Source organism: Homo sapiens, chromosome 17 (assembly GCF_000001405.40).
Source record: "Homo sapiens chromosome 17, GRCh38.p14 Primary Assembly".
Taxonomy (NCBI): domain Eukaryota; kingdom Metazoa; phylum Chordata; class Mammalia; order Primates; family Hominidae; genus Homo; species Homo sapiens.
In genome coordinates this window covers 58,954,092-58,966,136 of record NC_000017.11, presented here as the reverse complement: position 1 = coordinate 58,966,136, position 12,045 = coordinate 58,954,092, and the positions used below count along the sequence as shown (strand labels likewise).

The 12,045-nt window shown below is 40.8% G+C and overlaps 1 protein-coding gene across 4 annotated transcripts in view; it reads right to left on the bottom strand.

Moving 5' to 3' along the window:
- Positions 1-12,045, bottom strand: part of PPM1E (protein phosphatase, Mg2+/Mn2+ dependent 1E) — a 229,326-nt gene that overhangs the window by 19,043 nt on the left and 198,238 nt on the right. For 2 of the 4 annotated variants that reach the window (NM_014906.5, XM_024450657.2), the window contains exons 2-3: positions 10,370-10,488; positions 244-443 (exon numbers count right to left, since the gene is read on the bottom strand). In NM_014906.5, coding sequence (NP_055721.3) covers positions 244-443; positions 10,370-10,488 — 319 coding nt within the window. The remainder of the gene's footprint in view (positions 1-243; positions 444-10,369; positions 10,489-12,045) is intronic. The other 2 variants (NR_048561.1, XM_047435630.1) reach the window with 1 other exon arrangement.

The window sequence follows — 12,045 nt, the reverse complement described above, 5'->3', positions numbered from 1 at the left end:
GAGGCAAGGATAAGAGACATTTTTATTTTCCCAATTTTGAACCATGTGAATGCATTACCTATTCAAAAGAACGTAAAATAGTTCCTTTTCTGTTGCAAATTTGTGCCACTTTGCACTTAGCCCTACTCTAATCTACCAGAGATACAATTAGAAATATAACAGAAGTTTTCCTTTTCTAACAGGACCATGAAGGTGTTTGTTTTGTCTTTAAAATCTCACTGACTCTCCGAAAGTGCCCTTTACCTCTAGGTTGAAGAGCATATTAAAGTCAGGAATGCAGACATGTTTGTCCTCCATTTTCCTGCGCATGTTTTTGATGGCATGGATTGATGTCTCATAATAAAGCTGGGGTCTCCTGCGGAGGGGGAAGTCTTTCACCCAGCTGCAGCAAATCTCGTGTAGTTTGCTGAAGACAGAACGGGCCAATTTCACTGTCTCAATCTCTGTGAAAGAAACACAGAAACCCCCAATGAAGAGCCTTGTAAAACTGCTTTTCACTTCTCTGCTTGGTAAAGACAGAAGTAGGTCACCTTAGTCAAGTTCCTCCTTCATAGAAGAAATTCATCCTTCTCAAGAAAAATGAAATGCTGCTTCTGAAGAGAGAAAATCACAACCTATCTAGTGGAAAATCATCAGCCTGCAGCTGCCACTAAATATTCTTATGTCATGAGGAGAAAACCTTTGGCCAGGGCTGGACCTATTCCTGGCTTGATTTCTTCCAGCTGGAGAAATGCTCTCACCACACTGCTCCCTAGTTCCCAGCACCGGTTTCTTTTTGGTTGTCTGGTATGGTTATCACCAGGAGAGCCAAGCCTCCTATGCTTAGAAAAATAAGCAGTGATTAACACTGCTTCCGTAGTCCAATTAGCTGGATAAATACAGTGTTTATTGGAATATGGAAGGCCTACGAAAACAGCCCACAAACTACAGAAATAAGAAGGGTTTACGTTGCTTACCATTTGTCTTTGTCCTCTTTCTCCCTGACTTCTTCCTTTACATCCAATTCCCTTTTTTCTCCTATAAATGATCATCATTTGTAACTGAATTGTGTGTGTGTGTGTGTATATATATACTTTTTTTTTTTTTTAATTAAGACGGAGTTTCGCTTTTGTTGCCCAGGCTGGAGTGCAATGGCGTGATCTTGGCTCACTGCAACCTCCGCCTCCTGGGTTCAAGTGATTCTCCTGCCTCAGCCTCCCAAGTGGCTGGGATTACAGGTGCCCGCCATCATGCCTGGCTAATTTTTTGTATTTTTAGTAGAGACAGGGTTTCACCATGTTGGCCAGGCTGGTCTTGAACTCCTGACCTCAGGTGATCCACCCACCTTGGCCTCCCAAAGTGCTGGGATTATAGGCGTGAGCCACCGCACCCGGCCTGTTTTTTCTGTTTGATATTATTTGTTTATTAAAGTTTTAGGCCATAGTTTAAACAGTTTAGCCAATAGGTTAGCAAATGAGTTAAAACTTTAATACTACTCTAAGGAAAAATTACTTAAGTTCTGTCTATGCGTGTGATCCTAGATAGAAAAAGACAGAGAGCAGCCAGAGGAGCAATACTAACAGGTCTCTTGACCCTAAACCTACCGCTTCACCTATGTCTACCACTTCACCTATGTCTACCGCTTCACCTATGTCTACCGCTTCACCTATTGGGTAGAATTGGCGAGCTGACTTCTGAGGCAGACATGTACCCTCAGTAGATGGACACATGTGTAAGCCTTTTAAGCAACACTGAATGATACTGAAGAGATTGTATTTCCTATCATTGAACCCTCCACTCAAGTTGCCCTCCACTTAAGCTGAGCTACTGAAATAACCAAAGAGAGATTAGGTTTTCTCAGGCCAGTATTTTAGAAGTTCCTCCTACATCTCAGGTGAAAAAAAAAAATGAACTTAAATTTTCTTTTTACTTAACTAAATCAGACATAGCTTGACAGCCTGAGAAAATAAGTGACAGATGGCAATGGCTACACGTGCCTCCTCCAATCTAGAATACAAATCCCAAAGAAGAGAGAGACTATATGTTCTAGAACAGCCTGGGACGTGGACTCCCAACTTGATTCTCAGTCCTGTCTTTGCCTTAATCTGTGACTACGTTTACCTCTTTTCGTATTCAAAATTATTTTTTAAATGGCTATATTAAAAAAGCTGACCTCAAGGTTTTGTCCTTTTTTTCCTCATTAACATAGCACAGGGTGGTAAATCCTGTCTTGTGGTTTTGTCTTCTTTATTTTTATTTTTTATTTTTTCTGAGAGAGTCTTGCTCTGTGGTCCAGGCTGGAGAGCAGTGGTGCAATCTTGGCTCACTGCAACCTCCACTTCCTGGGCTCAAGCCATTCTCCTGCCTCAGCCTTCTGAGTAGCTGGGATTACAGGTGCCTGCTAATACCCCTGGCTAATTTTTATTTATTTTTTATTTTTTATTTTTTTGAGATGGAGGCTTGCTCCATCGCCCAGGCTGGAGTGCAGTGGCACCATCTGGGCTCACTGTAAGCTTCGCCTCCTGGGTTCACACCATTCTCCTGCCTCAGCCTCCCGAGTAGCTGGGACTACAGGCGCCTGCCACCACGCCCAGCTAATTTTTTTTTCTCACATTTTTAGTAGAGATGGCATTTCACCATGTTGGCCAGGATGGTCTCCAAATGGCTGGCCTCGAACTCCTGACCTCGTGATCCACCCGCCTCGGCCTCCCAAAGTGCTAGGATTACAGGCGTGAGCCACTGTGCCCGGCCAAGTTTTTTTTTTTTTTTTGAGACAGAGTTTCACTCTTGTCGCCCAGGCTGGAGTGCAATGGTGCATTCTCAGCTCCCTGCAACCTCTGCCTCTCTGGTTCAAGCGATTCTCCTACCTCAGCCTCCCGAGTAGCTGGGATTACAGGCACCCGCCACCACACTCAGCTAATTTTGTTGTATGTTTAGTAGAGACGGGGTTTCACCATGTTGGCCAGGCTGGTCTCGAACTCCTGACCTCAGGTGATCCACCCACCTCGGCCTCCCAGAGTGCTGGGATTACAGGCATGAGCCACCATGCCCAGCTTTTTTTTTCTTTAAATAAGAGGGTCTCTCTCTGTTGCCCAGGCTAGAGTGGGGTGATGTAATCACAACTCACTGCAGCCTCAAATTCCTGGGGTCAAGCAATCCTTCTGCTTCAGCCTCTCAAGTAGCTGGGATCACAGGTGCATGCCACCACACCTGGGTAATTTAAAAAAAAATTTTTTTTGTTGTTAAGATGGGGTCTCACTATATTGCTCAGGCTCATCTCAAACTCCTGGCCTCAAGTGATCCTCCCACCTCAGCCTCCCAAAGTACTGGGATTACAGGCATGAGCTGCCATGCCTGTCCCTACTGTTAGCATTTTTATGTAACTGAAAACCAAGGGTGAATTTAAAAGAGAAAAGACAAAGAGCAAAGACAGCCTGTGGAGGTATATAGAAGAAGGAAACTGAGGCCAATAGACAATCCAACATTTTGATTGTTTTGAGCAACTCCAATTTTTATTTAAGCACTAGCTGCCAGAGACTATTTCTTCCAGCCAGCAATTACCTGCTTGTATCACTGCAACCTATCTGGTCTCTGCAGCAGTATAGGCCCCCAAATGCAGACCCTGAGATGGATGTGTCCTCATCTGACATAGCCATAACAGGATTACAAAACAATCAAGTGAATTTAGAAACTTTGAGGGAGAATGGAGTAGGGTGAAACGAATAACATATTAACTATCAGGATAGTTCCCAGATAATAATATAAACTATTATATCATTCTTTGGCTTGTATATTACTCTTATGTAGATCTGCATTGTCAAGTACAGTAGCTACTAACTACATGTGGTTACATTTTTCTTTTTTTTTTTTTTTGAGATGGAGTTTCACTCTTGTTGTCCAGGCTGGAGTGCAATGGCACAATCTCGGCTCACCACAACCTCCGCCTCCCAGGTTCAAGGAATTCTCCTGCCTCAGCCTCCCGAGTAGCTGGGATTACAGGTATGCACCACCATGCCCAGCTAATTTTGTATTTTTAGTAGAGACGGGGTTTCTCCATGTTAGTCAGGCTGGTCTCGAAATCCTGACCTCAGGTGATCCACTCGCCTTGGCCTCCCAAAGTGCTGGGATTACAGATGTGAGCCACCACGCCCGGCCATGGTTATTTAAATTAATCAGTAGGGTGCAGTGGTCCCAATGTGCCAACAGCTCCAGCTACTTGGGAGGCTGAGGTGGGAGAATTGCTTGAGCCCAGGAGTTTGAGGCTATAGTATGATATGATAGCTCCTGTGAATAGCCACTGCACTCCAGCCTGGCCAACATAGCAAGACCCCATCTCTAAAAAAGTAAGTTAAAATTAAATAAAATTTAAAATTCAGTTTTTCGGTCACATTAGCTCTATTTCAATTGCTCGATAACCACATGTGGCTAGTGGCTCCCACATAGGGCAACACAGGTAGGGAGCATTTCCATCATTGCACTGTCTATTGGACAGAGCTGGTATAGACAGATTAACTTGGTTAGAGGAAGTAATATCAGTTTCCTCTAACATTGGTAAATCACTAGATCTGTTCATACCACTCCCAGTTGCTCCTTCCCCTGTGTTCCCATTATACTTTGTTCACGCTGTCTATTAAAGCTCTTAACCACTTTTGGTAATAATAAATAACATTTACTGAGTATTTGCTACATTCTATGCCTCTAGAACATTTCACAAATAGGTAACATCATTCTCAATCCTAGGTCTGTCTGACTCAAAAGTCCATGTTCTTCATCTCCAAATTAGACTGCAGATACAGACTGTCTTAATTGCCCTTGACAAGCCATAGTATAGTACCTAGCAGATAGCAGGGTCTACATTAGATGCTTGTTGAAAAAATAAATATGTAAACTGTTATATAAATTAAATAACCATTAAAATATTAAACATTTATATGCTTCTTGATTGTGTTCTGCTTCACTCATCTCAGCATCTATTTCTATAATGCTACCATTCTCTTTAAGTTACCATAACTTTAAAATGTTTTAATATCGGGAGGTCTAGTTTTCCTACCTATTACTCTTAATTTTAAAGGATGTCACTTGGGTAGTTTTATGTTTATTTTTCCAGATGAACTTTCTAAACATTTTGACAAGTTTGGGCAGAAAAACCTGTTGCTATTGTGTTTGGGATCACATTAAATTTATAGATTTGGAAAAAATATATATCGTTTCATATTGAGTCTTTTCCAGGAAAAAATTATATTGTTTTTTAAATTTAAATCCTTTTTATGTTGCTCAATAGAGTTTTAATAAGTCCTTCATATTTCTTAATCACTTTATTCCTGGTTATTTATTTGCCATTTTTAATCAGACTTTGCTTTATTATAATTATTTTTCTTTTTTTTTTTTTTTTGAGACAGAGTCTTGCTCTGTAGTCCAGGTTGGAGTGCAGTGGCGTGATCTCAGCTCACTGGAACCTCCGCCTCCTCAATTCTCCTGCCTCAGCCTCCCGAGTAGCTGGGATTACAGGCGTCCACCACCACATCAAGCTAATTTTTGTATTTTTAGTAGAGACGGAATTTCACCATGTTGGCCAGACTGGTCTCGAGCTCCTGACCTCAAGTGATGTACCCTCCTTGGCCTCCCAAAGTGCTGGGATTACAGGCATGAGCCACCGTGCTGGCCAGAACTTTGCTTTAATTGTTATTTAAAACTAGCAAACATTGCTTTTTCTTCCAATAACATTTCCTTCTTTCTTTACTCTGAAACCCTGTGATTCAGGTTTAGCCAGTTAGACAACCCCATTCCTTTGGCCAAAAGTGATTAGTTCAGGAATGGGAAACCATCCAAGTTGGACCAATTAGAGTAAATCCTGTGGCTTCTGTAAAAACAACTGAGAAAATCTACTCTTGTTTTCCTGCTCAACTTGAGTTTGGAGAGATGAAGACCTGGGTTCCTAGCAAGTCATACTGCCACCTCATGGAGCCTGAAAACAAAATCAAAGTGAAAGAAAGTACAGCTGAGAGCTGGAGAAATGCCAGGTTCTGTTGAGATCACTTGATGCCTTGAATCTACCTGTGTATCCCTTATCCTGGAAGGTAGTCAATACATTCTGTTTTGCTGAAGACAACTAAAGCTGTGTTTGTAATCATGTACAACTGACAAATTCCAGAATATACATTAAGCATAAATGTGACGTCCAAGATATATCCATCTAGGCCTACTTTATAAAGAATATTTTAAAATTTAGGAATGATATTAAATTTTATCAAATGTTTCTTTTGGCTTCTTTAGAGATTACTGTTTATTTTTATTTTCCCCCATTAATATAAAAGTTGTGCTATAGACTTCCCAATATTTTGTTCTTGAAGTTTTGTTCACTGCTGTTTCCCTAGTATTATACATATATAGTAGCATATATAGTAGGCCCTCAATAAAATATTCAGTGAATGAATTAACTGCTGTACTCAATATACAAATATTTTACTTAAGATTTTTTTTTTTTTTTTTTAGGCTGGGTGCAGTGGCTCACGCCTGTAATCCCAGCACTTTGGGAGGTCAAGGCCTTTTTTTTTTTTTTGAGACAGAGTCTCACTCTGTCACCCAGGCTAGAGTACAGTGGCGTGATCTCAGCTCACTGCAAGCTCCACCTCCCAGGTTCACTCCATTCTCCTGTCTCAGCCTCCTGAGTAGCTGGGACTACAGGCGCCCGCCACCATGCCCAGCTAATTTTTTGTATTTTTAGTAGAGACGGGGTTTCACCGTGTTAGCCAGGATGGTCTCGATCTCCTGACCTCGGTATCCGCCCGCCTCAGCCTCCCAAAGTGCTGGGATTACAGGCATGAGTCGTTTTTTTTTTTTTTTTTTTTGAGACGGAGTCTCACTCTTGTTGCCCAGGCTGGGGTGCAATGGCGCAATCTCGGCTCACTGCAACCTCCGCCTCCTAGGTTCAAGTGATTCTCCTGCCTCAGCCTCCCAAGTAGCTGGGACTACAGGTGTACGCCACCACACCCGGCTAATTTTTGTATTTTTAGTAGAGATGGGGTTTCACTATGTTGGCCAGGCTGGTCTCGAACTCCCAACCTCAGGTGATCTGCCTGCCTCGGCCTCCCAAAGTGCTGGGATTACAGACGTAGCCACCACACCAGGCCTACTTAAGATTTTTTTATGTTGACAACTAAGACTCGTCTCTCATTTCCTTTTTTAGTCTTGGGTAGGTTCTGGTATCAGTGTTATGTTATGCAAATTTTCCTTCTTTTTCCGTGCAGTTGGAGCATTCATTTTAAAAGGGATTGGGGCTGGGCACAGTGGCTCATGCCTGTAATCCCAGCATTTTGGGAGGAAGATTCTTGAAGGAAGAGCGAGACTCTGCTCAAAAAATAATAAATAAATAACTATATAATAAAAAAAAAACCATTGGAATTATCTGCCTTTGCATTTGAAAATGTTCACCTCACTTGTAGAGTCACCTACTCCATGGCCTTTTGTGAGGACTGTCCCTCGATAATTTTCTCAATCTCTTTCTTCTTAGGTAAACTTTGTTAATTTATTTTTTTTTTCTAGAAGACATCCAGGTTTTCAAATTTATTTACAAAAACTTTTTATTATTTTTAAATTTCCTCTGTATTAGTGATCATTTTCCCTTCTTGTTTTTAATTTTTACAGTAGGCTGGGCTTAGTGGCTCACGACCATAAACCCAGCACTTTTAGGAGGCCAAGGCAGGAGGATCACTTGAGCCCAGGAGTTCAAGACCAGCCTAGGCAACATAGCGAGACCCTGTCTCTACAAAAAATACAAACATTAGCCGAGCATGGTGATGCATGCCTGTAGTCCCAGCTACTCATGAGGCTGAGGTGTGAGGATTGCTTGAGCCTAGGAGGTAGAGGCTTCAGTGAACTGTGATCATCCCACAGCCCTCCAGCCTGGGTAACAGAGGGAGACCCTTTCTCTCTCTAAAAAAAAAAATAAATAAAAATAAAAATAAAAATAATAATTTTTACACTGTGATATTTCAAATTGGTTTTTTGGGTTGTTGTTGTCATTGTTTGAGACAGGGTCTCGCTCTGTTGACCGGGTTGTAGTACACAGCTCACTGTAACCTTGAACTCCTGGGCTCAAGTGATTCTCCTACCTCAGCCTCCCAAGTGGCTGGGGCTACGGGTGCATGCCACCATGCCCAGCTAATTTTTAAATTTTTTGTAGAAACAGTGCCTCACTATATTGCCCAGGCTGGTCTCAAACTCCTGGCCTCAAGTGATCCTCCTGCCTTGGCCTCCCAAAGCACTGGCATTACAGGCATGAGTCACCAACAGCTGGCCCTCAAATTGGTTTTAGGTTGTCTGGACAAAAGTTGTATCTACCAAACTAAATGTGTACCAAGTGAGATATCCAAGGTCACTTAGCAAACATTCTGTTAGGGATAATGTAAACATGAAAAGAAATTTAAGGATTTTTTTTTTTAAGACTGTTTTTGGAAACAACCAAGAGGAGAGACAAAAGGCACTTCAGTGAGGACTTTAAGCCAGTGACAGCAGGTCTTATTCAGTATGCTCATTTCCTACTCTGATGTATGGATAAACACAATATGCCCCATAGAGATTCTCTGTGGTGCAGTTCACACTAAGTGATTGGGGTTAAATAAATACAAGATTTCCAAATAGTTTAGAATAATAGTAGATCAGTCTGAATCACAGCAGTCGTATGGAGACATTATTAGGTAATCTCTTGGAAAAATAAAAAATCAGAATAACCAATTATATCCACCAAAAGAAAACACTTCATTTCACTTTTGCTATCTTAAAGGGATCAAAAAATTCTTCCAAAGTAGGCATGTAGGGCAACACTGCAATCTTTCTAGATTAAGTATTCTCCTTCTGCAGGGAGTAGCGTAAGACATCAGTATATAAATAATTGCTGCTTGAAATGGAAAAATAAAATAATAAAGGGATGCAAAAAACTGTCCAAAGTAGCAGTCCACCCCCTCACAGCTGTAAATTACTCATCAGTCATTAATGTCATTGTTCTGAGCTGGAGTTGAATCAGCCATTACCCTGGCTGGAGTGAAGCAGAATTTAATCTATCTTTTCATTATAAGGCTTTTACTCTATGCATCAGTAGCAGAGGAAAAACCAATGCTTTATAGCAAGAATTCTATCCAACTTGACTCTGGAACAATTTGGTTCTAGGTGAATCAGTTACTGTCAGTAAAAACAAGAAGAGTAATTCCTTCCTTGCCGATTTTCTGTCACAAACAATCTACAGAGATAAAGGAAGAACAGAAATGTTTACTTTTATATTTGCCTCACATTCTCTTCAATCTAGCTACTCAGATTCATTAACATATGCTTTGCTCCATATATACCATGATTAAAGGCAAATGCTTTAAATAGAACAAACCGTATGAAATATTAAAATTTCTTAACAATTTTGAGTAGTAATTCTCTAATTTTTATAAAAATATTTTCTTTGATCCTGTCAAATATGTATAAGCCTAAGACATTAATAAACATGACTTCATTAAGAAATAGAGCCTCATAATTTATCTGGAAAAAAATGTACAATGACCTATGCAATTAAATCACATTTGCATATCTATCATAAAGAGCTCTATTTACTGGTAGATATAAAATTTAATATAATTAGTGAGAAGTTGTGTTACAACTGATTTCTTGAATTTTTGTATCTTTTAACTTGATACAAAGTTAAGGTTTTTTTTTTTGTTTTTTGTTTTTTGTTTTTTTTTGAGACAGAGTTTCACTCTTTCTCCCAGGCTGGAGTGCAGTGGCGTGATCTCGGCTCACTGTAACCTCCACCTCCTGGGTTCAACCAATTCACTTGCCTCAGCCTCCCGAATAGCTAGGACCACAGGTGTGCACCACTACACCGGCTAATTTTTGTATTCTTTTTAGTAGAGATGGGGTTTCACCATGTTGGCCAGGCTGGTCTCAAACTCCTGACCTCAGGTGATCTGCCCACCTCAGCCTCTCACGCTGGGATTACGGGTGTGAGCCACTGCGCCTGGCCTAACTTGGATTTTTAAAGGTAAGCTAAACATTTCAAATAGGTTTTGCTCGAATTCTCCCTCACCCACTCATCTTTTTTGTAATATCTTCACATTCCTCACTTTAATCTTTCCATTCATGTAGGTATCACTTATGACAATCTCCTGTTGCTCCAGTTACCTTCTAAATACTACTCTACCTTTTTCAAAATACACATGTATTTTTCTCTTCTTCCCTTCCTTTTATTGATTTATTTGAAAAAAGTTGCATTTTTTCTCCCCTGCTACCACTACATAAACAACCAGCAGGTAAATGTAATTAGATTTAGTATTTTGCAGATATTTTCTGTGGACCACTACATATAGAAGATTCTAGTATTTTTAAACAAATAATGTAGAAAGGTACTCACCCACAGTCCCTTCTGTGCCATCCGTTTCCTTTGGGATATAATGTGCAGAAAGATCACTCTGAAGGACTTCATCTGATGTGGCTCTGGCTAAAGCAGCAGCCAAAAAGGAAGGGCAATTACTGCAAGAAAAAAGATAAAAGGCCATTTTCAGCAAAAGAATTAGAAAGTAATACATTTAACGTTATAATAATTACATATTAATTATAACATTGTCTCAAAACAAAATTATACCTTTAAACAATATTCAATAAATATTTATTGAGTAGGCACTCTGGGCACTGGATATATATTGATGCATAACACAGACATGGCTCCTTACCTAAAGGAGCTACAGACAGATGACAAACTAATAGGATATAACTTAAAAGCAGGATAAGTTTGTTTCTGTTTGTTGTTTGTTTTTTAGATGGAGTTTTGCTCTGTCGCCCAGGCTGGAGTGCAATGGCGTGATTTGGGCTCACCGCAACCTCTGCCTCCCGGGTTCAAGCGATTCTCCTGCCTCAGCCTTTCAAGCAGCTGGGACTACAGGCATGTGCCACCATGCCCAGCTAATTTTTGTATTTTTAGTAGAGACGGGGTTTCTCCATGTTGGTCAGGCTGGTCTTGAACTCCCAACCTCAGGTGATCCGCCCACCTTGGCCTCCCAAAGTGCTGGGATTACAGGCATGAGCCACTGCACCAAGACCAGGATAAGTTTTATAGAGGAAACAAACAGGATACAATGACAGAGAATAATAAAGAGGGGTATGAACTTAGATAGAATGGTCAGGAATGCCATACCTTAAAGGATGAAAAAGACTCAGTTATGTCGTAGTGGGAAGTTAGGAGAGAATACTCCAGGCAGAGGGAATAAAATTTATATAGAACCTTTTTTTTTTTTTTTTTTTTGAGAGAGACTCTTGCTCTGTTGCCTAGACTGGAGTGCAGTGGTGCAATCTTGGCTCATTGCAATCTCTGCCTCCCAGGTTCAAACTATTTTCTCATGCCTCAGCCTCCTGAGTAGTTGGGACTACAGGTGTATGTCACCATGCCTGGCTAATTTTTGTATGTTTAGTAGAGATGGGGTTTTACTATGTTGGCCAGGCTGATCTCAAACTCCTGACCTCAGGTGATCCATCTGCCTCAGTCTCCCAAAGTGCTGGGATTACAGGTGTGAGCCACTGCGCCTGGCCAATACAGAACCTTTTGAGAGCTTGTTATATCTAAGGAACTGAAAGAAACCCAGAGGAAGTGAATCATAGTGGGTGAGGGGAAAGTGGCACAGAATAAAGTCAGAGGAACAGACAAAGACCAGATACATGGGCCTTTTAGGTGATGGTAAGGAATTTCTATTCTTTTCAAAGGGTAATAAGAATTCACAGAAGATTATGACCAAGACAGTGCCATCGTCAGACATATGAATTAAATTATTGCTTTGACTGCTATATCAAAGGAAATTAGAAGGGAGCAAGAATGAAGGAGGGTAACCAATAAGGAAGTTGTTATAACCCAGATGAGAAGAAAAAGAGTGAGAAAAAAATATAGAACTTGTTGATGATTGGATGTAGAGGTGAGAGAGGGAGAGAAAGTAAAGAAGTCTGAGTCCTGGGTTTTGGTCTGAGCAACTAGGTGAATAGTAGAATCACCTGCCAAGATGGGGAAACCAGGAAAATAACAAGTTTGTGAAGGAAGTGGGG